Source organism: Homo sapiens, chromosome 13 (genome assembly GCF_000001405.40).
Source record: "Homo sapiens chromosome 13, GRCh38.p14 Primary Assembly".
NCBI classification, from domain to species: Eukaryota; Metazoa; Chordata; class Mammalia; order Primates; family Hominidae; genus Homo; species Homo sapiens.
This window is the reverse complement of record NC_000013.11, coordinates 83622769-83649238: the sequence shown is the minus strand read 5'-3', so window position 1 is coordinate 83649238 and position 26470 is coordinate 83622769.

The following is a 26470-nucleotide window of genomic DNA, read 5'->3' as shown; positions in this document are numbered from 1 at the left end:
AATCTGCTGATGAGAGTGGGAGTTGAAATTACAAAGGACAAATAAAGGCTGCCAGAAAAGTTAGCTGATGTAAAAAGGGAAATGGGATACATTGGCCTTCAATATTTTGCTGACATCCTCCAGTAAAAATTAAGTTGATACTGGAGTCTGGGAAATAAAATATTCAGTAGTTGAAAACATCTCCCTCTCCATTATAACAAGCAGATTAGGGAAGAGAGGAGCCAAAGTCTAACAATGGAAATGCTCTCTCCTCTTTTACTCTTTGGTATCTATGCTCATCATTTTACTCACATTAAGAAACAGCATTCTGCCCTGGCACACAGTGGCTCAGGCCTGTAATCCCAGCACTTTGGGAGGCCAAGGCGGGTGGATCACGAGGTCAAGAGATCGAGACCATGTTGACCAACATGGTAAAAGCCCATCTCTACTAAAAATACAAAATAAAATTAGCTGGGATTGGTGGCACATGCCTGTAGTCCCAGCTACTCGGGAGGCTGACGCAGGAGAATCGCTTGAACCCAGGAGGCAGAGGTTGCAGTGAGCCGAGATTGCGCCACTGCACTCCAGCCTGGGAACAGAGTGAGATTCCATCTAAAAAAGAAAAAGAAAAAGAAAAAGAAAGAAACAATATTCTTTCGTTTGACATGAGTCAACTATTTATCAAATAAAAATAGATATAATCAGCTTGCCCTTTTCTTTCCCCTCCTTCTCCTTTTTCCTTCTCCTCTTCTCCTTTTCTCCTCCTTCTCTTCCTCCTCCTTCTTCTTCTTTCTTCTTTTTCTTCTTCTCTCCCCCATCAATAATGAGAACAGCAAAACTCCATTAGCCATTGCAAGAAACTCAAGATCTCTAGCACAAGGCCCAGATATATCTTCTTTCATTTTCATGATCTATGAACTTATAAAATTAGTAATTTCTAATAAGTTTTATCTAAAATAATAAGAAAAGAGAAAAAAGAAAAAAGCAATACTCATAATTGATAATAAATGTGGCTATAAATAGCTACCTAATAAAATTATGCATAGAATCCACAGTTCTTATTTCTTTAACTGGTCAGGAAGCTATCTGATATATTTAGCCTTTTTTTTTAAGGCCATTTACTCTAACCAGCAAAGAAGCAAAGAAAGACCCTTGCATACATTTTCCTTTTGTCAGTGAGACAGAAGTGTCCAAAGTATCCAGGAAGTCTTTTCAATTTCAAGTTTAATAGGACCATTTTGGGAGCCAATAAACCTGGAACAGCAGAGATCAGGTTTGACTGGGTTGGAAGCAAAAGTGCTAAAAGCGGGTTATTGGAATTTGTGATGGGAATTGAAGAAAGATGGCAGAGAAGACTCTCCAGCAATCATTGCTCTGCATAAAAATCAACTTAAACAACTGTCTACATGCAAAAATACTTTCCCAATAGCGAAGGAACACAGGTAAGAGATCACATTACCTGATTATAGCACAATATTAAGAAAATATGCATTGAAGAGAGTAAGAAGAACAGTATGACATCGTATGTGTCACCCCTCCCCCAACCATAGGGAGCACAGCATGGGAAGAGATACCATCCACTTGTGAGAGAGAGAGAGAAGGAAGCATAGGACTTTGTCTTGGACTCAACACTAGGCCCACCACAGTAAAACCCAGCACTGGGCAGACACTCATGACCCTACATTTCAGGTGAGTACAAATGGACTAACTGTTTAGAACTGACTTGGTGCCAGGAGGGATCACACAGCCCCAGGTGCCAGGCATTTTTTGAGAACTCAGCCTCTGATCTGTACCATTGCTGAGCCAATGTCAGTGGCCCTGGGCCCCAGACAGCCCTAAGCAACAGGCAGCTCTTAGTGGCTCCTAGCTTCATGACTTAGTGTCCCAGCATCACGCCTGCCTTAGTGAATCCCAGGCTCAGGTGGCGCCATGCTGACTGCATCCGTCCTAAGTTTCTAATCTGCTGCAGACAAGACTAGTTTGTGGAGAGTGGAATAAGTATCTGCTTCTTCAAATATGCAAACACTGATGGATAACCATTAGGATCAAGAACAATTAGGGAAATACAATATCACTAAACCAGCAAAGTAAAGTACAAGTAACTAAGTTAGAGACAGAGATGTATTAACATCTTGAAAAAGAATTCAAAATAAATATTATTAGGAAGCTTAGCAAACTTCAAGAAAATACACAGAAAAAAATTAACCAAAATAAGGAAAACAATGTGACCAGAATGAGAACTTTAATAGAGAGGTTTCAATAATAACTAAAAACCCAAAAATGTTGGGCCTAAGAAATACAATAAATGAAATGCAAAGTGCAATAGAGAGCATCAATAGCAAAATTTATCAAGTACAAGAAAAATATCTGTGAACCTGAAGAAAGGATGTTTGAGAATATAGTCAGAGGAGACAAGAGAAAAAAAGAAAAAAATAATAATAAAGAAATCTTACAGGATTAATGGGGCAGCATAAAAGAGTAATTTTTTTTGAGTCATAGAAGTTGAAGAAGAAATAGACAAAGGTATAGAAAGCTTATCTAAAGAAACAGTTGCAGAAAATTTTCCAAACCTGGAGAAAGATGTAACTATCCAGACATAGAAAGGTCAAAGTTCTCTAATCCTATTCCATCCAAATAAGAGTACTCTAAGAAATGACCTATAATCAAACTGTCAAACATCAAAGACAAAGAGAGGATCTGGAAGGCAGCAAAACAAAAGATAACATATAAGGGAGTTTCAATATGAGTAGCTGATGATTTCTCAGCCAAAACCTTATAGGCTTGGAGAGAGTGGAATAATATATTCAGAAGTGCTGAAGGTAAATACCAACCAAGAATATTATACTCTTCAGAAATTAAGGAGAGAGAAATAATTTACTATGAAACTTAAGTTGAGAGAATTTATCACAACCAAAATCATCTTACAAGAAATGCTAAAGGGAGTTATTTGAGCTGTAAGAAAAGGTTGCTAATGAGAAACACAAAAACATCTAAAAGTATAAAACTCACTGATAAAGTACACAGGCAAATACAGAATTATCTAACACTGAAATCATAGTATATAAATTACTTATATCTTTTGTATTAATACTATAAGACAAAACTGTTAAAATACTATTAGTTACAGTATTTTTTAGGGATATGCAATACAAAAAGATGTAAAATGTAATATCAAAATTTCAAAATGTTGGGAGGAATGAAGTAAAAGTGTAGTGTTTTTTTCAATCAAAGTTAAGTTATTATTAGCTGAAAAAAGCATGTTATTACTATAAGATGTTTATTTTAAGACTCATGGTAACCACAAAACAAAAAACCTGTAGTAGATACACACACACACACAATGTTAAATCAAAACATACCACTAGAGAAAATCACTTATCTACAAAGAAAGACAGAAAAGTAGAAAGAATAGTAAAATATACAAAAGAAATAGAAATAATAGATAAAATGGCAGTAGCAAGTCCTTATCTATTAGCAATAATCTTGAATGTAAATAGATTAAATTCACCAATCAAAAGACATAGAGAAACTGAATGAATTTTAAAGATAGCAACAAAATAACTGTATGCTGCTTACAAGAGCATATATGCCTATAGGGACACACATAGACTGAAAGTGAAGAGATGATAAAAGATATTTCATGCAAGTAGATATCAAAAGAGATCAGGATAGCTATATGTATTAGATAAAATAGGCTTTAAGTCAAACATTGTAAAAAAAAAACCCAAAAGCATCATTATATAAAGATATAAAGAGGTCCATTCATCAAGTGGATATAATAATTATAAATATATGTGAACTCATCAGAACATAATATATAAAGAAAACACAAATAGGACTGAAGAGAAAGATAGACTAAAATACAATTATAGTAGGAGACTTCAACACCCCACTTCCAGTAGTGGACAGATCGTCCAGATAAAAAAATCAATACAAGAAAATCAGACTTCAACTACATATACAGAACATTCTATCCAACCACTACAGAATTTGTATTTTTTTCAACAGCACATGGAGCATTCTCCAGGAAAGATCATGTGTTAGGATATAAAACAGGTGTAAGAGTATTAAAAGAATTGTAAAGATTGAAAATACATTAAGTATCTTTTCAACCACCATGGTACAAAACTAAAAATTAATAATTTTGTATTAATTAATCCCAAATAGGAACACTGGAAATTCAAAAAACCCAGAAAATAAATGATGGGCTCTTGAACAAGCAATGGGTCAATGAAGAAGTTAAAAGGAAAATTTTAAACGTTCTTGAGACAAATGAAAATGGAAACACAACATACACAAACCTAAGAAATACAGCAAAAACAGTTCTAAGTGGGAAGTTTATAGCAATAAACACCTACATCAAAAAAGAAAAAAGATCTCAAAGAAACAATCTAATGGTGCACCTCAAGAAACTAGAAAAAAAAGAACAAACTAAGCCCAAAGTTAGTAAAAGAAAGAAATTAATAAAGATCACAGCAAGGGCCAGGTGTGGTGGCTCACATCTGTAATCCCAGCACTCTGGGAGGCCGAGGCGGGCAGATCACAAGGTCAGGAGTTTGTGACCAGCCTGGCAAACATGGTGAAACCCTGTCTCTACTAAAGATACAAAACATTAGCCTGGTATGGTGGCTGGCGCCTGTAATCCCAGCTACTCAGGAGGCTGAGACAGAGGAATTGCTTGAACTCAGGAAATGGAGGTTGCAGTGAGCCTAGATTGTGCCATTGCACTCCAGGCTGGGTTACAGAGTGAGACTCTGTCTCAAAAAAACAAAACAAAACAAAACAAAAAGATCACAGAAAAAAAAAAAAGAAATAGAGAACAGAAAAAAAATAGAAAATATCAATGAAACTAAGAGTTGGCTTTTGAAAAATAAATAAAATTGACAAAACTTTAGCTGTCCTAGCTAACATCAGAAATACAAAGGAGATATTACAGCTAATATGACAGAAATATGAAAGGTTATGAGACTATTTTTAATAATATGTCAAAAATTTGGATAACCTGGAAGAGATACATTTATAGAAAATAAAACCTATCAGGACTGAATTAGAGAGAAATATAAAATCTTAATACATCAATAATGAGTGAGAAGATTGGATAAGTAATAAAAGGAGTTTCCTAAAAAAAAAAAAAAGCCCAGTGCCTGGTGGCTTCTCTGCTGAATTCTATCAAATATTTAAAGAGCAAATGACAATTTTTCTAAAGGTCTTCCAAAAATATATATAAAAGGTAGGAATGTGTCCAAACTCATTTTACAAGACTAGCATCACCTTGACACCAAAGCCAGACAAAGACATTGCCAAAAATATGGTTTGGCTGTGTCCCCACTCAAATATCATCTTGAATTGTAACTTCCACAATTCCCACACATAATGGGAGGAACCTGGTGGGAGGTGATTAAATTATGGGGGTGGGTCTTTCCTTCACCATTCTTGTGATATTGAATAAGCCTCATGAGGTGGTTTTAAAAATGGGAGTTTCTCTACAGAAGCTCTCTTCTCTTGTCTGCCACTATGTGAGACATGCCTTTTACTTTATGCCATGATTGTGAGGCCTCCCCAGTCATGTGGAATTGTAAGTCCAATAAATCTCTTTCTTTTGTAAATTACCCAGTCCTGGGTATGTCTTTATCAGCAGGGTGAAAGAGACTAATACAGTAAATTGATACTGGGAGTGAGGCCCAGGCTGAGGTGATCTCAGATGGAAATGAGGAACTTGTTGGGAACTGGAGCAAAGGTGACTCTTGTTATGTTTTAACAAAGAGACTGTTGGCATTTTGCCTCTGCCCTAGAGATTTGTGGAACTTTAAATTTGAGAGAGATAATTTAGAGTATCTGGTGAAAAAAATTTCTAAGCAGCAAAGCACTCAACAGGTGACTTGGGTGTTGTTAAAGGCATTCAGTTTTGTAAGGAAAGCAAAGCATAAAAGTTCAGAAAATTTGCAGCCTGACAATGGAATGGAAAAGAAAATCCCATTTTCATAGGAGAAATTCAAGCCAGCTGCAGAAATTTGCATGAACAATGAGTAGCCAAATGTTAATCCCCAAGATAATGGGGAGAATGTCTCCAGGGCATGTCAGTGGTCTTCAAGGCAGCCCCTCCAATCACAGGCCTAGAGGGCTAGGAGGAAAAAGTAGTTTCCTGGGCTAGGTCCAGGGTCCCTGTGCTGTGTGAAGCCTAGGGACTTGGTGCCCTGTGTCTCAGCTGCTCCAGCCATGGCTCAAAGGGGCCAACATAGAGCTCAGGCCATGGTTTCAGGGGGTGCAAGCCCAAAGCCTTGGCAGCTTCCATGTGGTGTTGAGCCTTTGGGTGCACAGAAATCAAGAATTGAGGTTTGGGAACCTCCGCCTAGATTTCAGAGGATTTATGGAAATGCCTGGATGCCCGCACAGAAGTTTGCTTCAGGGGTGGGGCCATTATGGAAAACCTCTGCTAGGGCAGTGCAGAAGGATTATGTGAGATCAGAGTCCCCACACAGAGTCTCTACTGGAGTGCTGCCTAGTGGAGCTGTGAGAAGAGGGCCACTATCCTCCAGACCCCAGAATGTTAGATCTACCAGAAGCTTGCACCATGCACCTGGAAAAGCCACAGACACTCAACACCAGCCTGTGAAAGCAGCCCGGAGGAGGGCTACACCCTGAAAAGCCACAGGGGTGGAGCTTCCCAAGGCTGTGGGGGCTCACCTCTTAAATTAGTGTGACCTAGATTTGAGACCTGGAGTCAAAGGAGAACATTTTGGACCTTTGAGATTTGGCTGATGTGCTGGATTTTGGACTTGCATGGAGCCTGTAGACCCTTTGTTTTGGCCAATTTTCCCCTTGGAATATCTGTATTTACCCAATGCCTGTACCCCTAGTATATCTAGGAAGTAACTAAATTGCTTTTGATTTGACAGGCTTATAGGTGGAAGGGACTTGCCTTGTTTCTGATGAGACTTTGGACTGTGGACTTTTGAGTTAATGCTGAAATGAGTTAAAACTTCAGGGGGACTGTTGGGAAGGCATGACGGGTTTTGAAATGTGAAGACATGACATTTGGGATGGCCAGGGGTGGAATGATATGGTTTGGCTGTGTCCACCCAAATCTCATCTTAAATTGTAACTCCCACAATTCCGAAATGTCATGGGAGGAACCCAGAGGGAGGTGATTGAATTATGGGGGTGGGTCTTTACCAGGCTGTTCTCATGATAGTGAATGAGTCTCACAAGTTTTGATGTTTTAAAAAAAGGGGAGTTTTCATGCACAAGTTTTCTTCTCTTGTCTGCCACCGTGGGAGACATGCCTTTCATCTTCTGCCATGATTGTGAGGCCTCCCCAGCCACATGGAACTGTAAGTCCAATAAACCTCTTTCTTCTGTAAGTTGCCCAGCCTCAGGTATGTCTTTATCAGCAGCATGAAAGCAGAGTAATACACAGGTCAATGTTCCTAATGAACATAGATGCAACAATCTTCAACAGAATATTGCCAAAACAAATCTGGAAGGACATAAAAAGACCATTCACATAAGATCACAATGTATGAATTTCAGGTATGCAAGGAATCGTTCAATATTTGTAAAACAACATATGTAATACATCTCATTAACACACTGAAGGACAAAAATCATATGATCATTTTAATAGATGCAAAAATCACATTTGATAAAATTCAACACTCTTTCAATAACCTCTCAACAAATTACGTATAGAAGGAATGTACCTCAAGATAATAAAGATCATATATGACAAATCCGCATATAACATCATATTCAATGAGAAAAAGTTGAAAGCTTTTCTTTTAAGATCCAGAATGAGACAAAGATGCCCACTCTCACCACTTCTATGCTATATGGTACTGGAGGTCTTAGCCAGAAAAGGTAAGCAAGAGGAAGAAATAAGAGTTGTAAAGCAAAAAGAACTGGAGGCAAGTCTCAATCAATTGAGAAGTTTATTTAGCCAAGGTTAAGGACATGCCCAGGAAAGAGATCTGTGCCTCTCTCCAAAGATGATTTTGAGGGCCTCAATATTTAAAGAGGAAAAGTAGGCTGGAAGGGAAAGAGGAAATGTGTAGTAATTTACATGTTATAAGGGAAAAGGAACGAGTAGGGGAATAACCAATTATTTATTCATCTAGTGTTTAGTGCTCAATAAATCAGCACTTTACATAAGATAAGCTGATCATAGGGTAACTACCTGTGGAGATATTTAACCTTTTATATATAGCTCTCTGCTTAGGAACAAAAGGCAGTTTCTTGCTTGACTCAGCTTTCAGCTTAATTTTTTCCTTCTTTATAGTGAATTGGGGTCCCAAGATTTTATTTTCCTTTCACAAAGTCACTCAATTTTAAAGGAACATGTTAAATTGTCCCTGTTTGCTGGCAAGATGATAATATGAATAGAAAACTCTAAAGACTTCATCAAAAATCTGTTAAAACCAAAAAGTGATTTTGGTAAAGTTGCAGGATACAAAATACATACGTAAAAATCAGTAGTGTTTCTATATGACAGTGGACTATATGAAAAGAAATTCACAAAAATTATATTTATCATAACTAAAATGATAGATAGGAATAAATTTAACTAACGAGATGGAAGATCTCTGCACTAAAACTATAAAACATGGATAAAAGTAATTAAGACACAAATAAATGGAAAGATATACATTGTTTATGGATTGGAATAGTTAATATTGTTAAAATGTCCATACCACCCAAAGCAATCTACAGATTCAATAAAATCTCTCTCAAAATACCAAGGACATTCTTCTCAGAAATGGAAACAACAATTCTGCAATTTGTATAGAACCACAAAATACCCTGAATAGCCAAAATAATCTGAACATAAAGAACAAAGATGGAGACATTATAGTACCTGTCTTCAAAATATACTACAAAAATGCAGTAACTAAACCAGCATGGTACTGATATAAAAACGGACACAGAGTAGCAGCCAGTGAAGTCTAGGCGTTGCTGGGTCTTCCTCTCCTCTGCCTAAGGCTTTTGCAATATACAAAGGACTCTTTCCCTGGCTCTTGCTAGGGGCTCTCCCATTTGCCTTATGTGCTCCAGGGCCAAAATGTGTGAGGACAACTGCCATAGGTGAGCAAGCCACTGAGAACAACAAAACAGAATAAAAAGCCTAGAAATAAATCCACATATCTTCAACTAACTGATTTTTGGCAAAGGAGCCAAGAATACACAATGGAGACAGGACAATCTCTTTAATAAATTGTTTTAGAGAAACTGGATATACTCATGCAGAAGAATGAAATTAGACCCCTATCTCACACCATATACAAAAATAAACTGAAATGGTTTAAAAATGTAATGTAAAGCCTAAAATGATAAAATGCTAGAAGAATACATAGAGGAAAAGCTCCATGATGTTTGCTGGGCAATGATTTTTTTAATACAACCCTAAAAACACAGGCAACAAAAGCAAAAGTAAATAAATGGTATTACATCAAACTAAATACCTTCAGCCTAGCAAAGAAAACAACCGAGTGAAGAGACAGTCTACAGAATGGGAGAAAATAGTAGCAAACTCTACAACTGATAAGCAGTTAATATCCAAAAATATATAAGTAATTCAAACAAATTAATAGCAAGAAAACAAATAATCTGATTAAAACACGGGTTAGGACCTAAAAAGATATTTCTCAAAAAAAGACACATAAATGCACAACAAGTATATGAATAAATGCTCAGCATCATTAATCATCAGGGTAACGGAAGTCACAGCTGCAATGAGATATCCTTATATTTATTAGAATGCCTATCATCGAAAAGACAAAAATCAAGTATTGGTGAGGATGTGGGAAAAATATTTTTGCACATTGTTGGTGGGAATGTAAATTAGTACAGCCATTATGAAAAATAGTATGGACTTTCCTCAAAAAATTAATATTAGAACTACCGTATAATACATCAATCCCACTATTAGTAGTAGGACTTATACATATGTTTATTGCAGCACTATTCACAATTGCAAGTAGACAAAATCAATCTAATTTTCCATAAATGAATGAACGGATAATGTAGGATGTATACACAATGAAATACTGTGTACTATTAAGCCATAAAAAATAAGAAAATCTTGTTGTTTATGTGAAAATGGATGAAGTTGGAGGAATTTATGAAATGAGCCAGTTGCAGAAACATAAATCATGCATGATCTCACATATTTGGAGAATACAAACAAGTTGATCTCAGGGGCTGGAATGTTTGGTAGTGGGAGTGAAGAGATAATGCTCAAAGAAAAATAAATATAATTAACAAGAGAAATAATTTCAAGAGATCTATTTTATAACCTGGTAATTATAGTTAATAATTTTTCATATTGAAAAATAAGAGAGTGAATAAAAAGTTATGTTACCACAAAAGTAACAACCATGTTAGATAATGCGTCATGTTGTACAAGGTAAATACATACATCATTATCTGTCAATGTAAAAAATAAAAAAGTTAAAAAAAAGTACTAAAATGTTATTAGGTACAATAGTGAGATAGACAACAATACAGTTGAACTATTCCTGAGAAATGAGAATTAAGGTGGATTTCTATCCCTACCACTGTTTGTGATATAATTTTTGACTGGCACGAAAATAATAAATTTGACAGATCCCAATAGCTACTAGGTGCCAGGAACAGTGTTGAATTACTTTAGCAAGGATGCCATATCTCTGGCCTCAAAGATGGTTATAGTTAGGATCTCACTGTAGGAGTCATCTGATTTTTTACCAAACAGATCATGTAAAAGAGCAGTGTGATAAGAACATCACTTTTGCATCTTTCAAATCTTTAACAGTCTCACAGATCTCCGAAAATTTCCAGAAATGTGGCATTTCTTTGGTTTAACATTTTAGTATGCGTGGATGGTCTCATCCATACAAGTTTCCACTGGATCCTTCAGGAATAATAGCCCTCACTTTAAGAGTCAGAGAACCAAGCTATAGATTATGCCATTTGACAGATGTATCTATTTTAACTTTTCCTTCAATAACTCAAGAAATAGCTTCGCATAGTATTTGTGGAATTCCTGGGCCTTTTGAAAGATAAACCTGAGCCCAAACTTTGTGATCTCAGCTTTGTAAACTCCCTTTCTGACCAAAAAGAACTAGTTAGAACCAATATCTAAACATCTTCCCAAGATGTGTGTATATTAATTTCCTAGTATATAGTCATCCTGACAAATGGGCACAGTTCTCTTAGGGCAGGTTTTGTAAATCACATTGTTCATCCTTAAGAACAGTGGTTCTCAAACTGTAGCACACTTCAAGATCACCTAAAGGGATTTTTAAAAGATTACTGGGCCCAAACTCTGAGTTTCTGATGTAGTCGGGGGTGTAATATTTCACGAGAATTTCTCTAGTCCATTTCCAAGTGATGCTAATGTTGTTGAACAAAGGACCATATTTTCATAACAACTGCTTAAGAAAATCAAACCTGCCTTTAGTTAATGGGGTTCTGAGTCTATGAATTTCTTCAAATTTAGCAACTGGGAAAAAGCTATTGGCTTTTGATTTGAAGTTTTTAAGAAGGAAGTAATTTTTTATGTTGTATAGATAAAATATTACTTTCATAGACTATTTTATTATCTATCTATTTATTTATTTATTTGAGATAGTGTCTTGCTCTGTAACCCAGGCTGGAGGACTAGAATGCATTGGCTTGATCATAGCTCACTGCAGCCCTGAATTCCTGGGCTCAAATGATTCTCCCAAGTAGTTATGACTACAGGAATGTATCACTACACCTGGCTAATATTTTAATTTATATTTTCATAGAGACCAGGTTTCACTATGTTGCCTAGTCTGGTCTCAAATTCCTGCCCCAGTCTCCCAAGTTGCTGGGATTACAAGTGTGAGCCACCACACTCAGCCTATTTTAAAAAAATTTCTGAGGATCCAGTGTCCAATTATTCATACCCACAATCCCTGTGGTTCAAATCATACTGCTTACTACTTGAAAAAGAGTATACCAATTTGACAGTTCTATTGAAGAGAGGCTTTATTTAATTCTGAATAAATTGCTCCTGTGTCCATAAAATAGCACTAGATAAAATAATATGTCTCTTTAGAAAATGTCCCCACATATATCTAATGTGCATTTCTTCACAATATTAATAAAGCAATGAATACCTTTATGTTTTTCTTTTCTTTTTCTTTTTCCCTTTTTTTTTTTCTTGAGACTGAGTCTTGCTCTATTGCCAGGCTGGAGTGCAGTGGTGCTGTCTTGTCTCACTACAACCTCTGCCTCCCTGGTTCAAGTGATTCTCCTGCCTCAGCCTCCTGAGTAGCTGGGACTACAGGCTCGCACCACCATGCCCAGCTAATTTTTGTATTTTTAGTAGAGACAGGGTTTTACCATGTTGGTCAGGATGGTCTCGATCTTCTGACCTCGTGATCCACCCGCCTCAGCCTCCCAAAGTGCTGGGTTTACAGGTGTGAACCGCCGTGCCCAGCCATGTTTTTCTTCAGTTCTTCTTACTGCAGAGGTATCAACTTTGCCCTTGAACTCTCTTAGAACTCTGATATTTAAATTTGGCAGTACATTGGTGTTAAGTGTCAGTCTTTCAAAGAATCCAAACTATATCTAGGCAAGATTTTGATTGATTACCAGAAAATATTCTGATTTTCCAAGCTGATATTGTTTTATCATTAAAAAATTATGAAGCTCATAATTAATTTTGTGACATAAAAGTCAAACATTAGATAAAGCTAAAATATTCCATTGATTTAGGGGAGTTAACATGAAGCTTCTAGATATATGCTTATAAATAAAAAACTGAAAATGAACAAGATGAATATATAATTATTGGTCATGAAAACTGATTTGTGCTAAAGACATGTGGCATTTACTTTTCAACAATAATTTCTTGTAAAACTCATTTGAAATTTCTGGAGAGCTACTTTATATCTGAAATAGTGAGCATTTTCCGAATTTTGTAAAAGGAATTATAGTTTATTATGTTTTCCTAAAGATCTTAACAAAATAATATATAGACTTTTAAATTGTCATTAAATGAGACTTTCTCAATTTTATTTGTGGTTTAATGTTGCATAAATTAATATTGGGTTTCCAAAGAACTTAAAAAGAACTTTAAAAATCTACTAAAAGAGATGATCTTTCTTTACCTATCAATATACTGAAGAGTTGTAATACCCTGAGGGTTGTTTGACAGATAAGTAGAACAGCTGCCAGAGGGAGAGAGGACTTCAAAATAAGGTCTTGAAAAACAATATTTTTAAATGCACAATTCTAATATTTTTAGAAGATCCAACCATTGGAATAGTTCATGTAATAAAAATTTAAGCTAAAACTGAAGGTAATCAAATGTAAATCTAATGAAATTCATTTTGGTAATGGAATGGAGCACATTAGACTATCTAAATTACATTTGCTTCTTTGCAATCATTCCTGAAACCATTATGGTAGGTAACCTAATGTTTCCAAAAATCTAGCTACTCTTTATATGAAATACTTCGAAACACAAAACCTATAATAGCCTAAAGCTCAAAGTGTTAAAGCTTGACTTTCCAATTACTTTTATTTCTTCCAACACTAAAATCAATCTTCAAAGATAATTTGGGTGCCTGGAACTAATGTATATATTTCTTTTCTTATTTCTACTAGTTTATGTAATCACTGGTTTCTCTCTATCATTGTTACAATTTGGAAGGCAGTATTGATCTGATTTCCATTCTGTGTATTGAGGATACACGAAACCCTGTGTTGTAGATTCTACTTTTATCTGCAGGCACCACTTCCCTTATCGTAAAACACCAACATTCTTTTAGGAAACTCCCCTCACTCCATCCATTCTTGTTTTTCTATTGAAAGGCTTGAAGTGATAAATTGGCCACCTGGACAAGAGAATATAGTGATCCATTTGGGCTCTTAACTGGGGTTTTTCTTTTTCAGTTGAAAATCCTAATTAGAGATGAAGCTAAGGTGCTTTGTCTCTGGGATCTGCCTGCTGACTGTGATCACGTGTCCGGAAAGGCTGCTTGAAATAATGAAGACAAAACATAGAGAAGTAGAGACTATAGGAGAGAAAAGCTCACGGATGTTTGTTGAATTCATGATTCCAGTTATTCCCAAATCGCACGAGCATTTGTCCTTTCTGAGCTTCTGCCTCAGTTAGTTTGAGTTGTATTTTACTTGCAACCAAAAATACAACCAAACAGATTCAACAGGGTTGAGGTTTTTATTTAGCACTGTATTAGTCGCCCATTGCTGCTGTTATAAAGTAAAATATACTTAGTTGCTTAAAAGAACACAAATTTATTATCTCACAGTTCTGTAGGTCAGATGTCTGAAATAGGGCTCACCTGGCTAAAAACAAGGACTTGGAAGTGCTATGTTCCTTTCTGAAGGCTCTACAAAGAGTTTGTTTTCTTGCCTTTTCCAGTTACCAGATGCTGCTCACATCTCTTGGCTTGTTGCCCTATTGCATCTTCAAAGTGAACAATGGCTGATTGAGTCTTTCTCACATAGCATCCCTCTGACACTTTTGCCTGTCTCTTCCACAATTAAGAACACGTGATTAAGTTGGGCTCACTCAACTAATCCAGGATAATCTCCCCATTTCAAGGTCGCACAATTATTAACCTTAATTCCATCTGCTACTTAAATTCCCCTTTGTCATGTAATATAAAATTTTCAAAGATTGCAGGGATGAGGACATGAACTTCTTTTGAAGGGCAGTGCCTGCCATGGCACAAAGCATCAAAAAATAGAGGGAATGTAAGATAAAACATGATTTGCATATATATAATTCTAGCGTGAACAATAGCAATTTATTCAACATATTAATATTTAAGATAAATAAGAAAAATTTATATAATTCATTGTTACAAAACAATTGTAAGCGTTCACATTAGCCATTTTTTAAAAATAAAATGTTTAGGTGCATTTTGTTTTCTCCATGTCTGTGTATTTTTGCTAGTGATATTTGTTTTCTTATACATAATATGGAAGGTATGTTGAGTAAAACCCTGATTAAAAATGTCAGTCATGGAAGAAATGCTAGATATTTTCTATGACTGCTACTTATGCAATGATTGATTCCCTTTAAAAACACATTACTCCATATTGAATATTTCCAGTGATGGAGACCCCATTATCAAAGAGTTTAATAAATAGCCAAATCTGTGGGCATTCAAGAATGCCCTTATGACTCTGCTCCTGTTGGCTCTGCATGGTTTGTAATCTTTGCTAACAGACAGGGAAAGGGAGACCGATATTCAAAGCTTGTATTCAATTTCTCACAGTCACAGCTGACTGCAGCCCTGGAAGCCCATGAGAAACATGGTCTCACTAAGAGGCTGCAGCATCACTAGCTCTGCCTCTGTAATTCTTTGCTTTGGTTCAAGAGGAGAATGCAGAGGAGTTCAGGAGTAGGCGTTCTTTCCCTGCAGTACAAACAGCTTGAATTAATAAAGCTGTGTATTACTGTACAGCATAGGCACTTTCTTACCCTTTTGTATTGTTTGAAGCAACATACTTTACACAAATACATATTTTAAAAGAAGGTCAAGGTTATATTACCTCTACTGATTAATTTTGTTTCTGAGTCAGAACTTGCACAGTTACAGAAAATACCTACTCTCTTTCAGAATGACCATACTTGCAAACACAGTCAATAAGTAAGGTACAAAGAATTAGCACAAAATCTTTTGTTACATGAGTAGGAAGAACAAAAAAAAAATGTTTTGTTATGCTTAAAATTATATGCTTGTGCCATTTACATTATAAATTAAACAGTGGCTAGATTCTAGAACATTTATAAATGTATATCTTATGGGGAATCCCGAAGTCAATAAAAATATGCATAAATGGAAACCATGGCTTCTGATATGAAACAACATAATATAAGAAATATCATTATTGTATTCATGAAATCTTAGAAACATTGAATGTGCTTATCATGACTCTAATGAAACAAAAATAGCTAATCTTAATGCTGATATTTAGGAGATAATTTCAGGAAGTATGCCTTGATTTAGCAGTAGAAAACTCTGGATTTTAGCTCTGAATCTGCCATTTAAATACAATACATAATCCTATGCAAATAATGGGCTTGTAGTCTAGATGACACTGGACGATTATCAAAGCTCCTTTTTTCCTCTTTCTCTTTGCTTGCTTGTAGAAGATTTATATATTTGTGGAATACCTCTATTCTTGCATTCGAACACGTGCTTGCGCACACATAAACACATGCAGACACACACTCCTATCTCAGTAACACTTATTATTTTAAAAAAAAACTGGATTAATTTAAAATGAGTTTCTTCAAGAGACACTAGGAACTCCAAAAAAGGTAGTGGTGGGGATGGGGAAGGCAAGGGTTGGAAAAACTACCTATTGGGTACTATGTTCATCATTTCAGTAGTGGGGTCACTAGAAGCCCAAACCCCAGCATTATGCAATATATGCATGTAACAAACCTGCACGTGTACATCTTGAATCTACAATGAAAAAGAAACAGAGTTTGTTAGCGGTGACACTGTTGCTATTTGGGGCCAGGTAACTCTTTGATGAGGGTAGTAGTGAGGCTTTCCGGTTTATGGTAGAATGTTTAGTAGCATTTCTTGTCTCTACCCTCTAGACTGCAGTGGCAAATTCTGGCCAGTTATGACAACTAAAAGTGTCTCCAGACATTGTCAAACTTCCCCGAGGGAGCAAAAATAATTACTGATTCAAGAGTATTGTCTATAAAATATTCTGCTGTAAGAGAAAAAATTAGAAACTTTATGATGAAGATAAAATATCATAAGCCTTACAACACCTTGTACTTTAATTGCACGAAATCTTTACTAATACATTAATATCTACCTGACTTACCGTCCTTTTCTTTTTTTCTGGTTTTGCTTTTTATCTTTATGGAATTAAGCAGTATGACAAAATTATGACCCCTTTCATCAGTGTTTTAAGCCCCCAATAATCAATTATTCAATCATTTATGAAACTCAAATAGCCATTCTCCTTCTTTATTTCTAGTTAGATAAATACACATATAGTTTATGATTTTTTTTACTTTAAATATATGACATGTATTGCCATTTATTATGGGCCAGGGAATATGCTAAGAGATCTACATGTGTTATTATATTAAAGACTCCCCATTATCACTCTTCATTATGTCCTCTAATTTGGAATGCAACTGAAGGCCTGAAATGAATTATCTTTGATAAGGTCTCAAGGTTCTTCATGGCAGAACACAGGTTTGTACCAAAGCTGGTACTGTTTAAGAATCGGCTACATTTTTATCTTGGGTTTCACTGATCGTACACTCGTGTTTCTCCCTACAACAGTAAGCTTCATGAATACAGAATGATGGATCTTTTTAATCAGCTCTGTGGTCTCTCCCTCTCTTGCTGCCCCTAGAAGCTTGCATACAGATCCTGCTGAACAGAACTAATTTCCTCTAGCCAGGAATTACTTTGCCTCTTTTGGTCTCCAGACCCCAGAAATAATATTTTCCACTTCAGCTTCCTCACTTTCCCACACTGGAGTTAAGAGACAGAAATCACTGGATTTTGACAGCACAGCTTGGCTAAGTTATAATTTTAATTTTGTGGTGCTCCCTACTGTTGGCCTTTTTCTTTCATGCTAAAATTCTTGTTGTTTTTAATAAACTTAGCTTAGTCTGCTGCTCATTTAATCAGCACATATGGAAAACACCAGGAATCTTATTTTTAAAAATCTACTCCTCTTGACAAAAATTTAAATAACCTTGCTGAAATCATCAGTTGAAAGCATTGAGACCCTTGGGGGAAAATGTGCTGTAAGGTGAGCATGATAATGCTGAAATGCTAGAAGAAAGACAAAGGAACTCATGTGGCACAGGAGTAATCAGAGCAGTACCCTCCAGCTTGAAAACTATGAGCCAGAATTAAGTAAAAAACATCTTGCTAGAAAGGAAAAGGCATAAATCAATGTATCAGGTGCAATAAAATAATACCTTTTTAACAGTGACTTGAACAATGAAAACATATGTGATCTATCCTCATAAAGTGTTCAGAGATAAGCAGAAGCAGCGCTGGTTAATAAGCCAAAAGATATCCACAAGAACCATAGCTCATTTAATTTTTCTTCTTTGTGCCTCCATTGTATTGGCTGCTTTTAATTCCATAATTTCAAGAAGGTGGCAGCAGTTCCAAGCATCACAAACTCTAGGCATGATGAGACTCACAAAACAGCATCTAAAACCAGTAAATGAAATCCTTGTAGAACCCCAGCTTTTTATCGTAGAGGAAAATCTTTTCCAGAAACCCTGGAAGATTTCTTCTTTAATCTCATTGGCCAGAAGCACAACTGTAAGCCAGTCACTGGAAAAAGGGAATAGGAATACTGTAATTGGTCTACATAATTGGTTTATTCATGGATCAACCCCAGCATCTAACTTCCCTGACAACACTATCACATCATACATAACAAAACTGAGGTCCTGTTAGCAAAGTAGAAAAGGGAGAAATGCCTGTTGGTAGTCAATATTATTTGCCACATTTAACAAATGTAGTTAATGTAATTAAACCCAAACCATTTATATATTAAATTTGTAAGCATTAAATTATAACTTTAATCTGCAAACAATACCTCAAATTTGCTCTACTATCACAATATAGCCTGGATAGAGTTTTTTGATTATAGGCCGTAAAATACAGTATCTTGGGTTAATAAAATGATGGCTTTCTCAGTCACCAAATTATTAAACATACAGTTGAAGCTCCCTATGCCATCGGAAGAAAAATTAAATTCCTAATTATAATCAGAAAGTGGATTTCTCTGTTTCATCCCAAATTGGACTAAATCAAAATGTGAGGCGTACATCCTAGGTATTAACATTTTTTAGCATTATATTCCCAGATAATACTGTGCAGCAACCGGGTTTGGAAACCACTGCCCTAGAGTAAAGGTGCTTAACCAGTTACTTTGGATTAGAAAACGCCAGTAAGTATAGAAGAAAATGAAGAAATTTTATGTGGCCTCATATTTAACTACTTCCTGCCTTAGGCCACTAGAGATTGAAATGTTTCTTCTCCTGCATTTTTCCTTTTTTCTTCACCTCCTTTTAATATCCTCTTGCCCCGCTTACCTCTTATCACAATTGTCATTGGTTGTCTGCTCTTATTACTTCTACTATCACTATCTGACACTCCCATTAAACTCCCTATGCTAGCGTCTTAATGACTTCCCTTACATCTTCATAGGGAGCAAAGTCATTGTCACTATCAGCATACATACTGCCTTATACATGGTGTTAAAAAAATCCAAAACAGATTGTTGAGATGTATGTCATAGAGAGAGGAGGCAGGGAAATTCTGGGCAGAAGAGGGTGGGTCCTTGGGAAAGAACTCCACCCTCACACCTGGAATCATGGCCCAAATTGAGAATTTTATATCCCTGTTTTCCCACTTGAATGTTGCCTTTTCCAAAACCACCCATGGCCTGCCCCATCCCTCGTCCTGTGCCCATAAAAACCCCAGGCTCTGCCAGCAGAAGGAGGAGAGGAAGAAAAGAGGAAAAGCAGCTGGATGTTGGAGAGTACAGTTGGACATCAAAGAGAGGCAGCTTGATTTCAGAGGGATGGCTTGGTGGTGTGGCTTTTGAAGGGAATGCGCTGGCCAAACTCCAGGGGAAGATCACTTACCTGCTCCAGCCCCTTTCTAACTCCCTTTCCCACCAAGAGCCACTTTCATCAGCAATAAAATTCTCCACATTCACCACCCTTCAATTCATTTGTGTGACCTGATTGTTCCTGGATATCCAACAAGAGCTTGGGTACCAAAAGTATGGATGCAAAAGGCTGTCACACTGATCCTCCACTGAGTTGTTAATTCTTGAGCCGTCTTTGAATGGCAAACCTAAAAGAGCGCTGACGGCAATACTACTTAGGGAGCTTTGGAGATCATGAGTACTCCTCCCTAGATGCTGCTGTGGGGCCTGCATGGAGTTTTGCTCCTGCCAGCACCCAAAAGCACTCTCCCTGGCTCCTGCACCCACTCACCTGTGTGCTCCCTCCCATGAGGGGTTGAGCACAAGAGGATAGAGTGAGTGGAGTCCACCTCTGCTGGCACCAAAGTGCTGGCTAGTTCTAGTGCCCGTGTACTCCAGTTCCTGCATACAAAGGGGTCAGGAAAAATTTTCTGCTTAATTTGGATCTACTTCCTCCTATGAGTCAGTTATACAGTTAATACTGGGGACAGCAAAATTGAATGGATTTGAAATTAGCCATTGTATTGGTCTACTATCACAGTACTATAAAAAACTACCTGAGACTGGGTAATTTATAAAGAAAAGGGGTTTAATTGACTCACAGTTCTGCATTGCTGGGGAGGCCTCAGGAAACTTACAATCATGACAGAAAGTGAAGGAGAATCAAGCACCATTTTCAAAAGGCTGCAGGAGAAGGAGAGTGAGGGGGGAAGTGCCACACTTTTAAACCATCAGACCTCGTGAGAACCTACTCACTATCACAAGAACAGCTTTGGGGAAATCTGCCCCCATGATCCAGCACCTCCCACCAGGTCCTTCCTCTGACACATGGAGATTATAATTAGGCATGATATTTTGGTGAGGACACTGAGCCAAACCATATAAGCTATTTTATGAAATTAGAATTTTTGAAATTCCTAATTGCTTATATGAGCATTTTATGGAAAGTAAGATTTGGAGTGTATTATTTATTTGATTCCAAAATGGGTATGTCCTACAGTTTTAAAAAACAAAATGTTTAAAGGCATAAAAACAAATAGTTCTCTCTTTTGAATAATAACAACCTAAACCAGAGAGGCAACATCATATGTTTACCATGATTGGGACTACTGGGGCCTAGGTTTAAATCCCAGCGTTTACCATCTGTTTAAGCAGGGCCATGTTAATTAACCTCTTTTACTATTTGTTTTGGCAGGTGCAAAATAGGTACATCACCTTTTTCTCAAGATTATTATGCATATTAAACAAGATGATCATATAAGCACTATAATCATTATCTAATTATTTTCATGTTTAGAGACAAAGAGGGGGCAGTCTCCATAAAACAACAGGTTTTAATTATTATTTGATATAGACCCATTAATTTTTTTAAGAAAATTAATATAAATGTGCTTCCCAAATACAGTTAAACAAAACTTTATCAATTTTTAAATTGCAAATAATAAATATAGTTTAAAATCTCACACAATTTATGTGTGATGTTTGCCATCAAATGCTTGAGTTTAAAGGTAGAAAATTGCCACGATTATTTTCTCCCAGGAATCAGGTTCTTGATGTGAGTACTTGCAAACATGTGCATAGGATGCACAGCTTTTATTTCTTAACTGAAATAATGAAACCCACTCAGGATTTAGTCCAAGCACAGATAACTAAAATAATTCCATACAACTCTATTTGCTAAACAAAAATATAGTTCACAATTTAGCCTCATCACCCCATCTTTATAAAATTAGTATATTCATATATGATAATTGTTAGTTAATTCATACATATTAAACAATTATGATTACTATAATGTTAGTTAATTCATAAATATTAATCAGTTATGATTACACATAATTGTTTAATAAATGCAGGTCAGAATAAAATTGAAAGAAGGATTTAAAGAAACAGAGTAAGAAAGTATAATAAGCTTTTGAACAGATTGGATCACTAATCACTACTTACTCTAATTTTAGTTACCCAGTTTTGTTCCATGGGTAAGTTTCTTCTTTTCCCTATAGTAAAAGCAATATGGAGTTTTCGTATTTTAACATACAACAGCTTAAAAATTAGTATTATAGAAATTTTTCTTAATCAGATGTTACATTTAAACACAAATATAGTATTTATGGCTTTACTTCTGTATTGCTCTTTGCAAACTCATATGTTTTTATCATAAGCTAAGCAATACATATATGCCTTTCTTATTCTTAAAGAGACATTTTGTTTAGCCCTGTCACATCTATGAAGAAGGGAGGTAAATGAGACTTGGATTTGAAATATTGATGTATGTGGGTTATGGAAACGTGGAGATGGAATTTCAAACCCAGCCACCCTGCTGTCTTTTTTTCCCTCACAGCAACAGCAGCACAGGACTCTCTCAGCCTTAGGCTCTGTTACGTACTGGATGCCTGTGTCCCCCAAAATTCATATGCTGAAGCCCTAATCCTCAGTGTAATGGTATTCAAACATGGGGCCTTTGGAAGCAAATTAAGTTTAGATGAGGTCACAAGGGTGGTACCCCTGGGATATGGGTTGGATCTGTGTCCCTGCCCCAACCTTATATTGAAATGTACTTCTCAGTGTTGGAGGTGGGGCCTGGTCAGAGGTGATTGGATCATGGTGTGGATCCTACATGAATGGTATAGCACCATATTCTTGGTGCTGTTCTCCTGATAGTGAGTGAGTGAGTGAGTTCTCACAAGATCTAGCTGTTTCAAGGAGTGTAGCACCTCCAGCTTCTCTCTCTTTTTCTTTCTCTGGCCATGTGAAGATGCCTGCTTCCACTGTGCCTCTCACCACGACTGTAAGTTTCCTGAGGTCTCCCCAGAAGCAGATGCTGCCACACCTGTGAGCATAGAACTGTGGAACTGTGAGCCACTGAAACCTCTTTTCTTTACGAATACCAGTCTCAGGTATTTCTGCATAGTAGTGTGAGAATGGGCTAGTACACTCCATAATGGGATTAGTTCCCTTATAGGATGAAAAAGAGACAGGAGAGCTTTTCTTTCCATCATGTGAGGATTCCTCAAGAAGATGGTTATCTGTATGCCAGGAAGTGAGTCCTTACAAAGAGCTGAATATGCCCGCATCTTGATCTCGGTTTTTTCAGTCTCTAGAACTGTGAGAAATAAATTTCTATTGTTTAACTTACTCAGTCTATGGTATTTTATCTCAGCCAAAGCTAAGACAGGATTATACAAATGTATAATACATTTTATTTTCTTGCTTTTATAAGAGTAGGGAAAGATATCAGTTGTCCTTATCTAACCAGAATAACTATTTTTAGGGTCTTCCTGCAGCAAAAATCATTTGGGCATCATCCTTGTGTCTGTGATAATTAATAATACTTTATTAAGTTTCTCTGACTTGGAGGCAGAGTGGAATGACCTACTCTTCTGAAGATAGTTCTTGAAAGGCCTCAGGGTACCTTGACTGACAAACTAGCCAAGTCCCTAGACTTTCAACCTTTTTAAATTGATGGAGAGAAGGCTTTCCAAGCAATGATCAAGAAGCATGTCTTAATACGTGCCAATACGTTCCCATCAGAGCTAGTCTTTCCATCTTAATCACTGTAACTCAGGAGTCTGGGGAGTCCATGTTTTGCCATTTCTAGAACTCTCATTGACACTTACTGGCATTCATTTATGCCAAATTTCTGGGTTACTCCAGGTCCTTATAAATATATCTCTTGGATCAGCAATTTGATAAATGGAATTCAGCATCCAACGAGTACTGCGATCATTTGTAACAAAGCATTCTGCAGTTTATTTTCTGTAGCATCCTGGCTGTAATCCGGAGTTTAAGCCAGCAGTTTGTCATTAGGCAAAGAGGCTGTGTTCTTTTGGGATTTGGTCTAATATACAGTCTTGAATTTTTCTGGTGTGAAAGCCTGTTCCCTAAGATTTTCCTGTCAGTGCCCTTGCCTGGCAAACCTGTGAAATCTGTACTAAATTTTCTGGTTCTATTCAGCCTGGACATCTCCATAATTTCATACCTAATACCCACACATTTAAATTAAGAATCCTGCTCAATCAAAAACACCTTATAAATTTCTGGGAATCAAGAAACATCACTAGAAAAAGCCTAAACACAATCTTTCTGTGAAAACACCAAGAACTTAAGAAATACAGAAATCTGTTCTGCACGTGTGGATAGCTGTATGTCCTGCAGTCCTGACTCTGGAAGCCTGTACGAATGACTGTGACAGTAAAATCATACTGTATAAACTTGACTAGTCTTTATGGTCCTGTAAAAACATTAAAGTCCACAGCAAATTTTCTTTGCTTCCTATAAATTGTGACAACCTCTCATCATCTACTTCCCACGAAGTTGTTTCAAACCTAAGAACAGCGTTGAATAACTTGCCTTGAAGAGCTTGAAAAAAAGATTATTTTTCACCCCTTTCACCCTTTTCAAAATCATTACAGATGATTTTCTCATTCAGAAAACAATAATAAAATTTTCTCATTTTAACTATTCCTTCCTATCTTTTGATAAGAATATATATCCTTACAAGGATGGCACACTTTAACTGTTCTACAGGTTCCATATGTCTACCTACACAAAGGTCTTGTTTGTTTATTATTTTGTCCATCACATGAATTAAAATGGATACCTAATATTATTGAACTAATTGGCAATAAACTTTGGAAGCCCTCATACAAGAAAACAGATCAAAATTTCATTAACCAACTATGCAAGGAACTATTATAGATGTCTCTTCAAAATGTCTTTTCAAAAGAATGGGCACCAACATTGTAGCGTTTCAATTAAATCCCCCCTCCTCAGGCTCAAAAATATAATTTCTCATATTATGTCCAGCCTACAAACACCCTACTTTGTATCAAGTTTGAAGTCCCAAGTTATAAAATCAGAATATACAGAAAAGGCACATCCTGTGCATTAAAGAACTGAAAAGACCCTGTTGTAAACGATATTGTCTTCTAAAAGAGAGACACTGAGTTCTTCTTCCTCAAGGGAATAAGAAAGGCGTTATAACATCTCTAATTCTGATCAGGAATTATGCTGGTTGAGAGCTGGATGAAATTTAGATGTGGGTTGGTTTCACAAGAATTATTCTTGTTAGTGAAGTGTGTTTCTGCAAGTCTTTCAGTTGAGAGCCTGGAGGTCTCATCTACTTAGTCCTGAATGATGAAGGAAATTTATTTTTGCACTTAAATATTAACTATGTAGCTTTTGTTCACATCCAGCTTCAAAACTGGCAAGTGCCATGAGAAAGAAGTTGGCCCCACTTCATTCCAGTTCTGTGCAAATGGTAAAATAATTGTTAAGTTCTTAGGTCACTCAGAAGTTCAAGTCCAAAGTCTAAGCCTTTAGTTCTAAGGAATCTCATTGTCGTTTAGATTTTCTCTCTCTATAATTTTCACATCATGTCTGTTTTATCTTCAGGTTTTGGTCCTTGGAAATTCTTTTTTATTTTTTATTATTATTATTTTTTTCTTGAGACGAAGTCTCACTCTGTCGCCCAGGCTGGAGTGCAGTGGCGCCATCTCGGCTCACTGCAAGCTCTGCCTCCCAGGTTCACACCATTCTCCTGCCTCAGCCTCTCAAGTAGCTGGGACTACAGGCGCCCACCACCACACCTGGCTAATTTTTTGTATTTTTAGTAGAGACGGGATTTCACTGTGGTCTCGATCTCCTGACCTTGTGATCTGCCGCCTTGGCCTCCCAAAGTGCTGGGATTATAGGTGTGAGCCACTGTGCCTGGCTGGTCCTTGGAAATTCTTTGTTTCCTAAATTCTTGAGACTCTAGAAGATCACAAGCTACTTCAAAGAAACTTTCAACCCAGATTCTAACCTCTTATGCAGTCAGACATCAATAAATATTTTTAGAGAAAACCACCATGTGTTTGAGGATTACCAGGTCTTCAGTTTTGTCACTCTGGTTCTCCACAACCAATACAAGATTTGGTGGCAAATCTTTCTGTCAGCAGGGTGCTCATGCTCTGCCTGAGCTGAATCTCAATGCTTAGCCAAACTTCAATCCTTAGCCTTGAACCTATACCCATAATAAGAAATACTCTGGGGAAAAAGGGTCTGAATCATTAGCTAACTTTTGAGAAGTATTGTCTGAAATTTTGTCAACATAAACTTGTTTGCATCTATAATTATCTGATGAGTTTAATTAAATTATTTTAGTATTTTCCTAGCTTTTCCCACAGTCTTTACTGGGAATGTCAGTCAGCCATAATCTACTATTTGTACTAAAAAAACAGAAACTCTACCAGTGAGTTAAATTTGACAACCCAGTTGATTCACATCAATCTTACTCTATTTCTGTGTAATATCTGATACAATCTAGAAGCCTGCCTTGCTCTACTAATGCCTCCATATTGTCAAATTTTTTTCAACATTCAAACTGATTTTCTGTTTCTACTTACCCAATCGAAGTTTCTATTCCTCATCCTCTCTAATTTTTCCTTCACACACTTACTGCTAGAGATTTCATTTTGAACCATGGCTTCAAAGTCTTTTGAGACATGTATGATGCTAAATCAAAGGGTTCCATCCACATATCTCTTCTTGAATATCTCAGTTTTACTCAAAATGTGAACTTCCAAAATCAAATCATTTTTGATCTTGAATTTATTTCCTGAATCCTCTATTTCAGTGAACACTATCCCCAGAATTCTACCTTCTTATCCTACTACATATTTCCAGCCTTCAATTATTCAAGGGCCCACAAAAAGTTGAGTTTTTGATTAACTTGACACATAAGGATTAATGAGGAATCTAAGTGTATTAAATGGAACTTCAAATAATCAAAATGGAACTTAAAAGGAGT